The sequence below is a fragment of the Homo sapiens genome, chromosome 22, assembly GCF_000001405.40.
Source record: "Homo sapiens chromosome 22, GRCh38.p14 Primary Assembly".
NCBI classification, from domain to species: Eukaryota; Metazoa; Chordata; class Mammalia; order Primates; family Hominidae; genus Homo; species Homo sapiens.
The window spans coordinates 23,520,204-23,536,075 of record NC_000022.11 but is presented as its reverse complement, the minus strand read 5'-3'; the positions used below and the strand labels follow the sequence as shown (position 1 = coordinate 23,536,075).

The window sequence follows — 15,872 nt, the reverse complement described above, 5'->3', positions numbered from 1 at the left end:
TTCTTTTCCCCACACTAGCCAAAGGCAGTCCTTGTCCCACAGGGGCCCAGGAAGAATGTCCTAGTAGATGGCAGTGGCAGAGGGAGGCCCTAGAGGTACAGCAGTGGAGGGGACATGAAGCTGCTCCTGAGCTGGACCTGGGCGTCCTCTAGTTCATCCCAGTGTGGGGTTTTGAACTGTGCACTCTGTCAGCAAAGAGAATTTGGAGACAAATAGAAGAGGGGCTCCAAGGTAGTGGGAGAAGCTCAAGTGAGCATTTACTCAACAGCCTCCACCACCAGAATCTTTCTCAGGGGCTGAAGATGTGGTGGGTGGCACACAGCGTCACACAGGACACACAGGTCCTGCGGAGGAGACGCGGTACCATGAGATACGAGGAAACACAGACGTCAGGAGAAGACAGTGGTGGAGAGCGAAGTGCTCCAGGCCAGAGCCTGTGGCCTCCAGCTCCCCTTACAACAGCCCCCAGAGGCCGCCCCCAGTTTGTGGGTAAGGAAGCTGAGGCCCGAAGACCTGAATCAGTGACCAGCAAACATCGAGGCAAATTTGAACAGAGGCTCAGCCTCAGTGGGCGGCTGCGAGCTGCTGAATTGTGACTGAAGTGGCACACAGGGACAGGGACGGTGCTCAGGGCCGGCCTCTCATAGGGCTTTTGAGCTGGGGCTCGATGGACCAAGTCTTGGCTCTGGGCTGGGCACACGGCTTTTTGGCAGGCATCTCACTTCTGGGTAGCCTGCCTGTGGCTCCATTCTAGCGACCAGGAGCCTGAGGCCCACAGAGCTTACGGAGCAGCCTGAGTTCTCAGGGCTGGGGAGAGTAGCCAGGGGCTCAGACCTCGCCGTGCCATGCTGGCCCGTCCACCATGCTGCCCTGTTCTCACACGGCCAAGTGCTCCCAGCACACAGGAGGAGTCCAGGCGGGAAAGGGATGGAGGATGAACGTGACCAGGCCTTGCCTTCGGAGGGGTGAAGGTCTTCCCAGTGTCCCCCAGCCCCCCTGCCCACTCCCAGAGGGACGGCCCTGCAAGCGGTGGCCACCAGGACCTTGCAGGGGGTGAGGGTCCAGGCTGCCGAGGAACCAAGGAGAGGCCGCCCTCGCTTCCCACATGCCCGGGCCCTGGGTCCCTCAGCCTCCCGCTGGCCTTGCCACCCAGCTCTCACAGACACTGGCTCAGGAGCAAGCAGGAGACCCCTGGGGTGACCTGCCAGACCTGCTGGGCCCAGGCTCAAACCCTGCAGCCACTCCCGGCCTGGCCACTCCACCATGTCTCCCAGCCCCATCTCCCTCTTGAGGGCCACGTCTCTGGGTTTTGTGAGGCTGAATTCTTCTCAGCTCTCAGGTGTTAAGACTGTCTCCTCAAAGAGGCCTTCCTGAGCCCCCGCTCCATGACTATCCTGCCAGCATTCTCTCTTCCTCGGGTGGCTGTGGGTTTGTTCCTGCCCAGGTGGAGTGGGCTACTTCCCGCCACGCTGTCCCTCTACCCTTAGGATCCAGGGCAGACCAGTGGGGGCGGGGGGAGTTTCGCCGCAGATGCTAGTGACTCCAGGGGACAACCCAGGTCCCTTCCCCTCTGGGGTGCTCTGAGTCCTGAATTGACTTGGAATGTCCAGGCCCAGCCCTGGCTCTGGGCCCTGCTAGATCACTGGTGGGTCTTCTCCAAGGAGCCAGGCCCCAGCCTAGGCCCACCCTTCCAGTGACGTGAACAAAGGGAGGGTGGGGGCTGCTGTCTGGAGCAGGCCTGGAAGGGGAGCCCACTGCTTAACCCTGACAGCCCCTGCCAGACTCCCCAGGATCCAGTAGTGGAGCAAGGGGGTGGGAGGGGGCAAGGGGTGGGAGGAGACCAGCTTAGGTGCTCAGTCCCTTGGTGGTCTGTGCCTCAGAGCCCCAGGGACACTTTTCCACCCCTCCCCCACCCCCCTTTCTCCTGCCCTTCCTCCCTCCCTTCTTCCTCCCTGTCCTGCCCTCTTCCTGCCCTTCCCTCCCTTGTCCCTCCCGCTCCTTATCTCCCTCTTTCCGTCCTTCTCTCCTTCCGTCCCTCTCCCCTCTCCCTCCTGCCTTCCCTTCCTCATCTCCCCACCCTCCTCCCCAGCCCTGCCCTTCACAGCTCTGCTCTCGAGATCTCCCTGTTTCTGAGGTTCTCTCGGTCCCTCCCTCTCCCCTTTTCTCTCTCCAGTTCTTTCCTCCCCACCTTGCCCCTATCCATGAGTGGGGTCACGGGGCCCAGTGGTTTGCAGCTCCCAAAGCAGTCATCTCTCTGTATCTGCGCCTCTGCAAAACTGAGGCTACCTGAGCCTGGACCCGCAGCCCTGCTCCTCAACTCCCCACCAACTCTCCTCCTCTTCTTTCCTGCACCCTCCCTCCCCATCCTCCCTCCTTCGCCCTCTTCCCTCTCAAGCCAGTATTTGTAGCTCACTGCTGTGCATTCGTGTGCAGGCTACTCTCTGACACCTGGATGAGGTTTTTTCTGTCATGGCAGCCCCAAGGGCAACTGGCAGACTTTTCCCTCTTAAGTTGCTAGTGCACTCCCCTCTTCCGCCGCTGGGGCCTCGGCTGGATGGAGGCTGGTCTCTCGCCTGCCTGGGTCTGGGGCCCCGGCTCTGTGTCTAGGCCTGCCGCTATCTGGCCTCCCCTTCCTGCCGCTGCCTCCCTCACCTGCTCCCCCTCCTCTCCTTCCTCCTCAGCCTTTGTCTCTGGAAGACAGGGAGCCTCTCACTGCCTTCCCCTCCCTTCTCTTCTCATTTAGCCCTTTCCTTGGGCAGCCTCTCTCAAGGTTCCAATCCTTCTCCATTTGTTCCTCTCCTTCCCTGCCTTCCTTTTTCCACCTCTTCCTTTTCTCTCTCCCCCTTTTCTCTCCTCTCCTGACACCATTCTGCCTGCTTTTAGGGAATGGAAAAAACCCCAAGTTGGAATGTGGGGACCCCAGCTTCTCTCCCCCATCCCCTATTTTTCTCTGCCCTCGGCAGCCTCCCCCTGGACAACAGGGTGGGGGGAATCAGGTGGGGGCATTGTGAGGGGATTCTGGGGCTGAGGGGGTTCCTGGAGCCCACGTCTCCAAGGCAAACCTTCTGCAGGGCCCACCCTGATGCTCATGGCTTTCTGGGACTCCCAGGGGTCCAGCCTGGCTCTGGTGGGACCTCCATGCGGCCTGGGAGGGGGCCAGCACAGCCCTGCTCCTTCCCCAGGCTGTCTCTGCCCCTCCAACCTGGGTCTTCAGAGATTTCTTCTCAACGCACCTCCCTCCCTCTTCCCCCATCTGGCACGAACCTGAATTGATCTTTGTGAATATCACTTAAAATAAGCAACCTGTTGTCCTCAGCACTTTACAGTTTGCACATTTCTCTGCTCAGGTCACAGCAACTACGTACCTCGGGCCCTATTTCACTCTCCCTGGTGATAAAGGAGGCACCTGCCCAGCACCTCGGGCGCTGCCAGCAGACCCACCTGAACAGGACCCAGGTCTCACCTCGCTGAGCCTTCACGCAGGCACCAGGCTTGATACCTTCCCGGGGCTCAGAGACCCAGAGAGGCAGCGTCCTCTGCCCAAGGTCACACAGCCCCAGCTGGTGCAGAGAAGAGGTGTTTGGGGCTAAGTGTGAGGAACTTGCAGCCTTGGGGGACTCCACCATCTCTTTCCGAGGCTGGTCTCATGCCTGTCCTCTCCCCAGGTCAGGATGGGGCTGGGAGTGAGGGAGCCCCCGCCCCGCTTTGCTTCCCCACCTGCTCCTGACCCCCGGGCTTTTCTGTGGGGCTGACTCAGGATGGCTGGTGGAGAAGGTGCTGCCTGTGCCCCACACCACGTGCTGGCTTTGTCCTCCTCATCCCATCCAAGACCCTCTGTCTGCCCCACTCTCTGGGCCCCCTGCTGCGGTCTGGACTCAGCTTCCCTCCTCCTCCCCTCTCCTCTCTCCTTTTCCTTTTCTCTCCCTCAGGCCTCTGCTTTCCTGATTCTGCCACCTGGACTGGCTCCTGGCTGGGACCCCTCCATCCTGTCTGTCATCCCTCTCTCCGAGGGCCTCTCCCCCCAGCTATGGCATGTCCCCTGCTCTCTGTGCATTTCCAGCACAGTCTCTGTGTCACCCCAGCCCTCTGCTGCCTGCATCTCCCCTCTCTCCCTCCCTCTCCTGTCCTGCTGTTTCTGCTCACCCCAACATGCGCACATGCACACACGTGCAAAGACACACGGAGGCACAGGCAGGGGCTGGTGCAGACACGCAGCCCATACACGCAGCCCACACAGGCAGCCCATACACGCAGCCCATACACGCAGCTCATACACACAGTCCATACACGCAGTCCATACACGCAGCCCACACACGCAGCTCATACACGCAGCCCGTGCAGTTGTTACGGCAGCAGTGGAGGGTCAGAGCCTGGCCCCAGGAGGAGGCAGAGGAAGGGGACCCCTTGCCCAGCCCCAATGTCCCCAGGCCTGCAGGCGCCTCATGGTGGGGTGGGGTTCCAGGCTGGGCGGGCTCCCCTGGTCCTGTGGCTCCATCTTCTGAGTCTCAGGGGCAAGAGACCGCCTTGATGGGGCCCAAGCTTCCAGAATTCTGGCAGGAATCCCCAGCGTGCCCGACCAGTGCTGGTCCCAGGGCAGGGATCTGGAAGTGGGCACAGCCCTGAGAGCAGAGGGGTTGGGTCAGGGCAGGGGCAGCAGAGACGGCCACTCAGCACAGGATCTGAGGGCGGCCAGGTGGCCATGGGTCCTGCACCAGGACCACTGTGTGCAGCCTCAGAGGTGACCGAGCCTCCACGTCTGGGTCTAGCGCCGCCATGGATGTGGGGAGCCTCCTCGCCAGAGTTCTCGGGCCCTCTTCCCCACTGCTCTCTAGGTGCTGGTAGGAGCCCGACAGTCCTGGGTTTGAATCTCACCCCCATTCACTAGCTGTGCAACTTTGAGGGGTGACTGACCCCCTCTCCCTCCCTAAGGGGATGATACAGCCACCTGCCCTCAGGACCCAGTGGGGCCTCCATATAGCCAGCCTGGGGGTGTGACTGCCCGGTGCTTCCAGGTGTGGCTGTAGAGTCAGCCCTGGGTTCAAGTCCTGATACTTTCAGTACAAGAAGGGGGCAGAGCTGGGGGTGAGCCTCCTCACCCCATGTGGGCCCAGGCCTTCCTCTGCAGCAGAGTCTGGTCTTGGCAGCCTTTCTCTGGGTTTGCACTGGGGTCAGAGCCCGCACTGGATGTTTTGGGTTTGGGGAGTTCTGTCTGGTGGAGGGTGGGCCTGAGTGAGTCAGGTATTGGGGCCTCTCACTGGATGCCTGGGGCTCTCAGCCATTCTGCTGATGCCCGCTGAGTGTCATCGGCCCTGCGTTGGAGTCTGGGTGAATTTCTGGACCCACGGAGCCTCTGTTTCTTCCTCCATAAAATGGGGATAACAACAGCACAACCCTTCCAGGTGTGAGGCTGCGCTAAGATCACCCTGGAATGCTCTGAGCTCAGCAAGTGCTGAGGTTGAAATGGGAGTGGGGGTTATTTGCTGTTTTATCTGCTGGGCAAGTCTTTAGGTATTCAGCCCTTCCCTCTGCCCTCAGCCCACCTGAAGTTTCTGCTCCAGGGCCCAGAGCTCAGGGGCCCTGTTCCCCAGCTTTCTGTGCCCAGCAGAAGATGGGGTGGGGGAGCAAAGGGGGGATGGAGCCTGCACCCTCCCCAGGGCTAGGGGGGGCCCTCCCACTGTGAGCAGGGCCCAGCCCCTCCCCAGCTCTGACACAGACCCCTGGACATTGGGAGGGTGCTCTGCTCCCTCAGAGATCTGGCTTTGCCCCAAGATTGGAAGCCAACCAAGGAGGGAGGGGCAGGGGCTCCAAGGGAGGCAGAGTGTGGGGAGTAAGGGGGTCACTGCACCTCCATGAGCAGGGGACAGGGTGGACTGGAAAGACCTGAGGCCACAGGGGCATCCTCAGAGTGCTGTCCCCAAAGTCGGGGTCTGTCTCAGCTCTAACAGCAAAGCCGGTCTTTCTCCTGTCTCCACCCCCTTCCTCCTCATGGTACTTGTACCTCTACTGATTTTATACTTGTTTATTAATCCTCAGGCTCCCCCCAGCAGAATGTCAGCTCCTTGAGGGATGGGATCTTGTCTCATTCTCTGCTGCATCCTCAGCAGGGGGTAGGGTGCCTGGGACATTGAGGTATTCACCAACAGCTGTCAGGTGAATGAGTGAGTGAGTGAAAGAATGAATGACCTGTGGGGCAGCTGGGGCTTGTGGCCTGAGAACACCAGCTCCACCTGGCCCTTTCTAGACGTGGACAGAGGGCAGATGCTGACCTGCTCATTGATAGCCAGCCTGGGGGTGGGACAGTCTCCAGCTGTGGCTGTGAAGTCAGCCCTGGGTTCAAGTCCTGATGCTTTCAATAGAAAAGGGAGCAGGGCTGGGGGCTGAGCCTCCCCACCCTGTGTGGGCCGGGGCCCTCTTGTGCAACAGGATGTTGTCTTGGCGGTCTTTCTCCTGGTTTGCACTGGGGTCGGGGCCAGAACTGGATGTGTCAGGTTTGGGGGTCACGGTACCTCAATGTCTTTCTCAAAGCCTCAGGCTGAGGGCCTTGTGAGACCAGTGCCCTCACTCCCTGCTGTGGTTTCCTTGGCTCAGCCCCCCGCCATTCCCTGGCACTGCCAGTGGATCACTGTGTCCTCCCTACTCACTCTCCCACCAAGAGATCCTTTGCATAGGCCGTTCCCTCCGCTGCGAATGCCATTCCCACTGCTTTTTGCATGGCTGCTCCTGAGACCCCTCCCCTCCTCCGAGGCAGCCTCGCCTCCCTGCTGAGTGTGCCCTGTGACTCCCTTCTGCCTTTGCACTTAGCCCTTAGCCCCGCCAGTGTGCATTTCTCACATCACTGTGTTTCTCTTTGCAGGTCACCTGCCTGTCTCCTTGGAAAGTTAGCTCCATGCAGGTTCAGCCTGGGCTGCCCTGCCTACCATTGCCTCCCCAGTGCCCTCATGGTGTACTCCATGGAAGGTACCAGAGCTTAGAGCAAAGCCTAGCGCACAGGGCATGCGATGGTGAATGAATGGATGAACAAACAAGAGCATCAATTTTGGGATTAGACTGCCTGGGTTCACATCCTCACCAGCTCTGACCCTTGGGCAAATTATTTAACCTATCTGGGCCTCAGTTTCCTCATCGATAAAATGGGGATGATCGTAGTGCCTACCTCATGGGGTGGTTATGTGGATTAAATGGTTTCAGGGAGTATTCAATATCTGCAAGTGTGTAACATACGAATATCACGTGAGATTTTTGGGCATAACTGAGCAAATCCCAGCTCTTGATGGGGTCTCAGGAGCAGTGGTGCAAAGAGCAGTGGGAACGGTATTCCTGGCGGAGGGAACAGCATCCACAGGATGTTTTGGAGGGGGTCGGGTAAGAGGGGATGTTTTGGGGGGGCAGGTAAGAGGGGATGTTTTGGGGGGGAGTAAGAGGGGAGGGGAGAGAGATGGACTGGCAGTGCCAGGGAGTGGCCGTCGGGCTGAACATCCACAGAAACCAGACACGAAGAGGAGGCAAGCCAGGCCAGGGGGAAGCATAAAGAGGAAGTGAACCAAAGCAGGGAGCGAGGACTGGTTTCACAAGACACTCAGTGTGAGGCTTCGAGAAGGCCATGGAGGTACAGTGATCCCCCCAAACCCCAGCCCCACCCCAGCTTCTCTTGTGGTCTTCCTCATCCCAGGAAATGGCACCTCCCACTGTCGATGGCCCAGGAGTCAGGCTTGATATTTTTCTTTCTTCCACATCCGCATCTGATCCTTTCACAAATCCTGATGGCTCTACTTAAAATATATCCAAAACCCAGCCATTATCATCTCCACTGCTGCCGTCCCCAACCAGGCCACCGCCATCTCCCCTCTGGGCTCTATCAGCTCCCAGCTGAGAATTGTGATCAGTTTCCCCAGCTTCCCTCGGCCGCTTCAGTCTATTCTCACTCAGAAACCAGAGAGATTGTTTAAAAATACAAATCAAGCCGGGCGCTGGGGCTCGCGCCTATAATCCCAGTACTTTGGGAGGCCAAGTTGAGTGGATCGCTTGAGTCCAGGAGTTCGAGACCAGCCTGGGCAACATGGCGAGACCTCATCTCTACAAAAAATACAAAAATTAGCCAGGTGTGGTGACATGTGCCTCTAGTCCCAACTACTCCGGAGGCTGAGGTGGGAGGATTGCTTGAGCCCAGGAGGTCGAAGTTGCAGAGAGCAAGATCACACCGCTGCACTCCAGCCTGGGTGACAGAGCAAGGCCTTGTCTCAGAACACACACACACACACACACACACACACACACACACACACACACACACTGACCCTGGGCTCGCCCCTGCCCTCACCCTCCTTGGCTTCAGGTGTCCTTAGGGTCAGGACGCCGGGCACCCACCCCAGGGCCATGGCACCTGCTGCTCCAGGCTCCCTGCAGGCCTCACTCCCTCCCTCCACCCAGGTCTCGGCTCCAGTGGCATCTCCTCGCCTCCCTGGGCTCCTTGTCCAAATTCCAGCCCTCTTGTTCTCTGCTCTAGCCCCTCACCTTGCTCCCTGGATCCTAGCGTTGGTTTCCTGGTTCTTTGTCTCTTTCCCAGAAGGTCAGCCTTGAAAAAGCTGGAACTTGGCTTTGCTGTTCAATGTCTCCTGGTGCATGGAAGAGTGCCTGGCAAGAGTCTGTGCTCATAAATATTGATTGAACAAAAGAAGGAATGCTAACTATGACTATTATTACCACTATTGCTTGGCAAAAGCTAGAGGAAGAGAGATTGAGGATAGGGTTGATGTAATTATGTCTAATAAGAAAAAAACAACAACAAACAGTGGCCTGCTCCTGCCTGGCTTCCGTCAAAGACCAAAGACCAGTGGGCTTTCTGTCCTCCGGGCTCTGTCTTCCTGCTGCCACGGTTACCACGGTCCGTGGACTCCAGAAGAAAGGCCAGGCCAGGCTGACTCTGTGGTTCTGCCCAGCTTCCTTGGGTAGCCCAGGGCCTGGTAGAGAAAGATCCCATCCAAAAACAGCTGGCCTCCCCGATCTTATCTCCATGGTGCCCAGATGGAGGGAGAAGGGAGGTACTTGCTGTTCTTCCAGAAAATACGGTCCAGACTCACTCTGCATTTGTGGAGGACCTGCTCATGCTCTGGGCAACTCAAAGACGTGCGGATCGTGGTCCCTACCCTCCAGGAGGTTTCTGGCAGCAAGGAGGGGCCAGAGACAAGCACTGACTTAGCTGTGTATAAAAATAGCAAGGGCTTGCACATGACAGGGAAAAGTCAGGTGCGGAGGAGCAGGAAGAGCTCTCTCACCCATACCTGCCCCAGCCTCACAGTCCACTCGCCCTGATGCACGCCTTCCTGGCTGAGGCGGCTGGGCTCCCATGTCTCCACCGGGTGCCATCCCAAACTCCCAGAGGCCTGGGGCTGAGCCGCTCCCTCCACAAACCCAGGTCTCAACCAGTGGCTGGCAGAGATTAGAGGGCTAGCCCAGACCTCACCGCTGGTGGCTGGTCTGGCAGAGCTTCAGAAGGGTGCAGAAAGGACACTAACTTGGCAATAGCATCCTGGGATCATCTTTCTCACCTCTCTGCTCCTTCAGTTGACAATCCAACTCTGCTCTCCATTGCAGAGAACAGACTCCGGACCCCCAGAGAGACTATGAACTGACCACTGCAGCCCAAGGAGCACCTGCAGGGTTTAGGGGTCCAGGGCTGAGGCCTAGGACCATCACCATGGCAGTCACTGTCATCTCCATGACTACAATCATCACCTCCATGACCAACCACCATCACCTCCATCATCACCACTGTCATGAGGGAAATTGTGTCCTCCCAAAAAATAGGTTCGGCCAGGCATCATGGCTCATGCCTATAATCCCAGCACTTTGGGAGGTTGAGGTGGGTGGCTCACCTGAGGTCAGGAGTTCCAGACCAGGCTGGCCAAAATGGTGAAACCCCGTCTCTACTGAAAATACAAAAAATTAGCCGGGCGTGGTGACGGGCGCCTGTAATCCCAGCTACTTGAGAGGCTGAGGCATGAGAATTGCTTGTATCCGGGAGGCGGCGGTTGCAGTGAGCCGAGATCACGTCATTGCACTCCAGCCTGGGCAACAAGAGCAAAACTCCGTCTCAAAAAAAATAAATAAATAAAAGACAAAAATGTTAGGTTCAAGTCCTAAGCCCAGTCCCTCAGAATGTGGCTTCGTGTGGTCTTTACAGAGGTAACGTAACCAGGTTAAGGTGAGGTCATTGGGGAGCCCTAATCCAGTAAGACTGAGGTTCCTAGAAAAAGGGGAAAGGTGAACAGACATGCAGAGTGAAGATGATGAGAAGACGGAGGGCGGGAGGATGGGAGGACCGGAGGACAGGAGTGACGCGGTCACATGCCAAGGCTGCCAGAAGCTGGAGTAAGGCCTGGGACCGAGGCTTCCCCGGGGACTTAAGAGGCAACATGGCCCTGCCCACACCCTTACAGTGGACCTCGGGCCTCTGGAACTGTGAGGCGGCTCTAGCAAGTGAATATAACCACCATCAGCATCACCATCACCATCATTGTCTTCATCCTCATCCTCAACACCCCGGTATTCATGTATATAACCACCATCAGCATCACCACCACCATCATTATTATCACCCTGTCCTCATCCTCATTCTCAACACCCCTGTATTCATTTCCTTCCTACGGCTGAGGAACACATCACTACAAACGTGGTGCCTTCAAACAACACAGATGATTCTCTTGCTGTTCTGGAGGCCAAAAGTCTGAGATTGAAGTCAGCAAGGGGATGCTCCCTCCCCAGGCTCGGGGAGGACCCTTCCTGCTACTTCCAGTGTCTGGCAGCTCTAGGTGCTCCTTGGCTTGTGGCTGCATCGCTCCACCCTCTGCCTCTGTCTACACATGGCTTCTCCTCTTCTGTGTAACCTAGGCACTTGTGATGGCATTTAGGCCCCACTTGGGTAATTGAGGGTGACCTCCTCCCAAGATCCATAACTTAAATGACATCAGCAAAGACTCTTTTCCCAAATAACATCGCATTCACAGGTTCCAGGGATTAGGGCGTGGACATATTGGGGGAGGGGGGTGTGCACCGTTTAACCCACTACAACAACCAGCACCACCACCAGCAATGCCATGGTCGCCAGCATCAGTTAAGTTCTAGCAAGTACCAGGTCAGTCCAGGGGCCTCACCTGCATCATGGCCTTTCTTCCTTAAGACAAACTCAGAGCAGGTTCTGTTATTTATTTATTTATTTTTATTTTCTAGATGGAGTCTTGCTCTGTTGCCCAAGCTGGAGCGCAGTGGTGTAATCTCTGCTCACTGCAACCTCTGCCTCCCGGGTTCAAGTAATTCTCTTACCTTAGCCTCCCAGGTAGATGGGATTACAGGTGCCTGCCACCACGTCCGGATAATTTTTGTATTTTTAGTAGAGATGGGGTTTCACCATGTTGGCTAAGTTGGTCTTGAACTCCTGACCTCAAGTGATCCAGCCACCTTGGCCTCCCAAAGTGCTGGGATTACAGGCGTGAACCACCACGCTCAGCCCAGGGTCTGTTATTATCCTCACTGCTTAACACATAAAGAAGCCAAGGCTCTGTGAGAAGAACTTCACTTAGAAGTAAGTATTTGAACGCTGGCAGTCTGGCGTCAGTGGCCCCTGCCTAACCATGGTTGTCCTGCCCCCAGCCCCAAACTTGATCATACAGATAATTCCACAGATGAAAGAGTGGGGTGACCAGCACCTGAATAGGAGGCACAGCGCTATGGTCCCATCTAGGCTCTACCACCAGCTGGTGACACATCTTAGCCCCATCTCTTTCCCCTTTCTGGGCCTCAATTTGCCCAACTGTAAAACAAGAAGGGGGGTAGTTGGTCTGGGTAATCTCCGAAGTCCTTCCAGATCTGGGGTTCTGCAACACTGGGTGTCTACTGTCATTTCTGTCGCAAACACTGCCCAGGGTCCCGACTCTCACATCAGCTAAACCCTCTAAACCCACCATCAGCTGCCAGAGAGTTCTGCTTGGACCGTTAGCCTGTGGGGTGAGTGCTGGTGACTGGGAGTGGAGGGGGGTATCGGCTTGCCTGATGCCTCCCAGTATCTCAGGGCTGGGAACCTCGGTCTTATACTCTACAAGACCTGGGGTAGGGTTGGGGGTGGGATGGGGGTGGCGGATGCTCTTTCTTCTTGGAACCCTGACTTTTGGTTCACACATTCAGGGAGGGCTGTGCAGCTGCGAGCGGCTGGTGCTGGGAACAGGGCTGAAAATTACTTTTTTTGCAAGGGCAAAGGCCTCCGTAACCAAAGGCTAACCGCATGCCCTTGGAAGAGAAGAACAAAAAGAAAACATGAAACAGGCTGAAGGGATCTCTGAAAGTTGTTTCCAAAACCTGGGTTGTTCACTAGGAGTTGTTTGTAAGTATAAACATTTTTTTATTTTTATTTTTTGAGACAGAGTCTTGTTCTGTCACTCAGGCTGGAGTGCAGTGGCACGATCTCGGCTCACTGCAACCTCTGCCTCCCAGGTTCAAATGATTCTCATGCCTCAGCCTCCCGTAGCTGGAATTACAGGTGTGTGCCACCACGCCTAATTTTTGTATTTTCAGTAGAGACTGGGTTTCACCGTGTTGACCACGCTGGTTTCGAACTCCAGGCCTCAAGTGATCCTCCTGCCTCAGCCTCCCAAATTGCTGGATTACAGGCAGGCTGCGCCTGGCCAATTTATTTTTTTTTTAATCCATGTTATGGCGTGTACTGCAGAGGCCTTTTTCCTCTGGCTTCCCTGTCCAGAGCAGCAACTGTTTGCATTGAGCTGATAATGTCCAAGAGTGGGGAGCTAAGTTAGGGAGAGAATCACAAACTTTAATTAGCAGGATGAGATTAACATCCCAGCAGGGGCTTGAGGGTGGGGGGCGTCCTTCAGGCCCATCTGATCCCAGTGGAGACCTCCCCACAAGCCCCCGAATCCTGGGACACTGAAAGCCAGGCGCCTTTGAGGGTGGAGGGAGGCCACCCGCCTCCCCACCTGGCCAGAAATCACACGCCCCGCAGCCTGCCCTGGCTTGGTTCAGCAGGGCCCAGAATGTCCTGGTCTTTATCTGGTTCAGTTTTAAGTGCTTCCAACGGCAGCGAAGCTGTTCCACCACGGTCCCCAGGAAATTGGTCCATGTAGGACCGAGCCTTCCCGAGAATGAAGTCATCTGTGCCGTTTTTATTTTTTGTTGCCTTTCTCCTACAACGGGAGAGTCACTGGTCCTCTGCAGGTCCCTCCCCGCGGCAACGCACCCAGCCGCGGGGCCCGGCCGGGCTGGTGGGGGAAGGGGCGAGGAGCAGGGCCCCGGGGTGCACGGTCGCCCGACGCCCCCTGCCCGCGCCCCAGCCCGGCCCCCGCCCTCCGCGGCCTGAAGGTGAGCTCCCGGGGGAGACCCCCGCGCCCGGCACAGCCTGCTGGGCAAACAGTAACAGTAAATAACGCTCCCTTGTCAACGTAATAGAAACAGAAACGGTTACAATGTTTCTTTTTCTTTTTTTTGTTTTTTGTTTTTTCTTTTTTTTTTTTGAGATGGAGTCTCACTCTGTCGCCCAGGCTGGAGTGCAGTGGCGCGATCTCGGCTCACTGCAAGCTCTGCCTCCAGGGTTCACACCATTCTCCTGCCTCAGCCTCCCGAGTAGCTGGGACTACAGGCGCCCGCCACCATGCCCGGCTAATTTTTGTATTTTTAGTAGAGGCCGGGTTTCACTGTGTTAGCCAGGATGGTCTGGATTTCCTGACCTTGTAATCCACCCGCCTCGGCCTCCCAGAGTGCTGGGATGACAGGCGTGAGCCACCGCGCCCGGCGGTTACAATGTTTTTTAATAAGCACACCCCATCAATCTCCCTCCCGGGCCCTGGGCACCGGGGAGGAGGGGTAAGGGTGGGGGGCACCGGGGCTCGCTGCTTGGGGGGCCCAGGATACAGGCGGAGGACGCCCGGGAAAAGAGGGGAAAACACAGCAAGTGAGAGACGAGGGGGCTCGAGCGGCCAGGGTCAGGCGAGCTAGCGGAGCCGGAAAGCGGCCGCAGAGAGTAACATCGTTGCCATAGCGACGTGCCCGCGAGGAACAGCGGCCAAGGCGCCCGCACCGCCCGGCCCCTCCCACCAGCCCGTTGCCACGGAGACCGGGCCGGAGTGGCGCCGCGCTGTCTGCCGCGGCCTCCGGCGCCCCGACCTGCGCATTCGCAGCGGGACCTTGGGGGGCGCCGTGGGAGTGCCCTGGCGCCGCGCCGCGCCGGGGCCATCCGGACCCCTAGGCCTATTCCCGCCGCCTGCTCGGGTGGTGGTGGGGGGAGGGAAAAGACAAACTGTTCTTTGTTTGCCTTTGGAAAGCCGGCCTGCCTTTGTTCCGGGCGGGTTCGTTGGTTTCCAGGCGTTGAAGGCTGGGAGAGGAGGGGGTAGGGATCCCGGCCCAGCGGTCCCAGACGTTTTCGGAACTACAGACCCTGGGCTCAGCGCGGGGTCGCCGAGGGGACGCGGGCCACCAGCCCTATCCTCCGGAGCTCAGGCGCAGTCCAGGCTTCCCAGGCCCCGGGGCTGCCCTCCCGGAGCCTGACCTCCCCTGGGGGTGGGGGTGCTGCCCTGGGGCCCCCTTCCTGGGTTTCCTGGTCCTTCTGTCCACGTATCTCACTCCCCCATTGAACCGGCAAAGAGCACAAAGCAGAAAAGACATCCTTGCCGCCCCAGGCTCCCCCATCTAGCAGAAAACTCTGAAACAGTCCTCACCCCTCCCAAAGTTGAGAGAAACGTGGATGTTCCATAAACAAAACCCGCCCTCCAGCAGCATGTTTAAGTGGAGGCGACCTCGCGTGGGTGTGCGTGTGTGTATGTGTGCGTGTCTGCGTGCGCCGGGGACGCGCGATCATCTCTCAGGCTGTTTGTGGATAATTTTTTTCTCTAGATTTTGTTTGTTTTTAATAAGGATCAGAGGTCTGGGCTGTGGGGAAGGGGCAAGGGTCATCTCGGATGGCCAGGCCGGGAGGTACCAGGGGGACAGGTCTCCGGGCCTGGCCTGCCGAGCGAGGCGGGATCCGGAGCCGCCCCATCTGGCCCTACTCCCGGCAGTGGCTGGTGGGAGTCAGTGGGGACCGGCTCCGTGGGCTGCTCCTGGGGTATGGCCCCAGAGAGGAGCCAAGCCAAAGAATACGATTTCTCTCCCCTGCACAGGGCAGCTGTCATTTCCCCGGCCCCTGTCCTGGCCATAAGGGCCAAGAGAGAAGGCAAGCAGAGTGGCTCGGGTCTCTGGGGCTTTCTACACTGGAAAGGGAGGTTTTTGTTTTTTTGTACAAGGCAGACTTCAACTTTCAGCGAGCAGGCTGACCAGATGGGAATGTAGGGAGGGTGTGCGGGGAAAGGGGACCCCCCTGCTTCAAACTACCTCCCTGCCATCATTGCCTACCAGCCTGGGCCCCCACTGCGGCCCTGTGCTGGCTGAAGGGAGGGAGGGGCTGGGGCTGATGTTTCTTCTTTCCTACTCCCTCCTTCTTTCTAGATGTGAGAAAGGAACCCCGCCCTGTAGGGGAAGCTTGTCTGGTGTCCAGAAGACTTAGGGTCCATGGGCCGGGTGTGGTGGCTCAAGCCTGTAATCCCAGCACTTTGGGAGGCCGAGGAGGGCAGATCACGAGGTCAGGATATCGAGACCATCCTGGCTAACACGGTGAAACCCCGTCTCTACTAAAAAATACGAAAACTTAGCCGGGTTGCGGGGTGGCGGGCACCTATAGTCCCAGCTACTCGGGAGGCTGAGGCAGGAGAATCGCTTGAACCTGGGAGGCGGAGGTTGCAGTGAGCCGAGATCACGCCATTGCACTCCAACCTCGGCAACAAGAGTGAAACTCCAACCTCGGCAACAAGAGTGAAACTCCATCTCAAAAAAAAGAA

At 57.6% G+C, this 15,872-nt stretch overlaps 1 long non-coding RNA gene across 1 annotated transcript, besides 7 other annotated features; it reads left to right on the top strand.

Annotated features, from left to right (window-relative positions):
* Nucleotides 241-857: an enhancer, noted in NCBI's record as "H3K27ac-H3K4me1 hESC enhancer chr22:23877406-23878022 (GRCh37/hg19 assembly coordinates)". NCBI's record gives its function as "activates a minimal SCP1, AML or CMV promoter by ChIP-STARR-seq in naive H9 embryonic stem cells {active_cell/tissue: H9 hESC(naive)}" and the evidence as "EXISTENCE:reporter gene assay evidence [ECO:0000049][PMID:30033119]".
* Nucleotides 858-1,473: an enhancer, noted in NCBI's record as "H3K27ac-H3K4me1 hESC enhancer chr22:23876790-23877405 (GRCh37/hg19 assembly coordinates)". NCBI's record gives its function as "activates a minimal SCP1, AML or CMV promoter by ChIP-STARR-seq in naive H9 embryonic stem cells {active_cell/tissue: H9 hESC(naive)}" and the evidence as "EXISTENCE:reporter gene assay evidence [ECO:0000049][PMID:30033119]".
* Nucleotides 2,707-3,322: an enhancer, noted in NCBI's record as "H3K27ac-H3K4me1 hESC enhancer chr22:23874941-23875556 (GRCh37/hg19 assembly coordinates)". NCBI's record gives its function as "activates a minimal SCP1, AML or CMV promoter by ChIP-STARR-seq in naive H9 embryonic stem cells {active_cell/tissue: H9 hESC(naive)}" and the evidence as "EXISTENCE:reporter gene assay evidence [ECO:0000049][PMID:30033119]".
* Nucleotides 5,789-6,404: an enhancer, noted in NCBI's record as "H3K4me1 hESC enhancer chr22:23871859-23872474 (GRCh37/hg19 assembly coordinates)". NCBI's record gives its function as "activates a minimal SCP1, AML or CMV promoter by ChIP-STARR-seq in naive H9 embryonic stem cells {active_cell/tissue: H9 hESC(naive)}" and the evidence as "EXISTENCE:reporter gene assay evidence [ECO:0000049][PMID:30033119]".
* On the top strand, nt 6,034-10,140 carry LOC107985580 (uncharacterized). Its single transcript, XR_001755452.2, has 3 exons — nt 6,034-6,150; nt 6,854-7,606; nt 8,564-10,140. It is a non-coding gene; the product is annotated as an uncharacterized LOC107985580 (long non-coding RNA).
* Nucleotides 12,457-13,022: an enhancer, noted in NCBI's record as "H3K4me1 hESC enhancer chr22:23865241-23865806 (GRCh37/hg19 assembly coordinates)". NCBI's record gives its function as "activates a minimal SCP1, AML or CMV promoter by ChIP-STARR-seq in primed H9 embryonic stem cells {active_cell/tissue: H9 hESC(primed)}" and the evidence as "EXISTENCE:reporter gene assay evidence [ECO:0000049][PMID:30033119]".
* Nucleotides 13,023-13,589: an enhancer, noted in NCBI's record as "H3K4me1 hESC enhancer chr22:23864674-23865240 (GRCh37/hg19 assembly coordinates)". NCBI's record gives its function as "activates a minimal SCP1, AML or CMV promoter by ChIP-STARR-seq in primed H9 embryonic stem cells {active_cell/tissue: H9 hESC(primed)}" and the evidence as "EXISTENCE:reporter gene assay evidence [ECO:0000049][PMID:30033119]".
* Nucleotides 13,935-14,294: a silencer, noted in NCBI's record as "silent region_13540". NCBI's record gives its function as "represses an Ori minimal core promoter by ATAC-STARR-seq in GM12878 lymphoblastoid cells {active_cell/tissue: GM12878}" and the evidence as "EXISTENCE:reporter gene assay evidence [ECO:0000049][PMID:35858748]".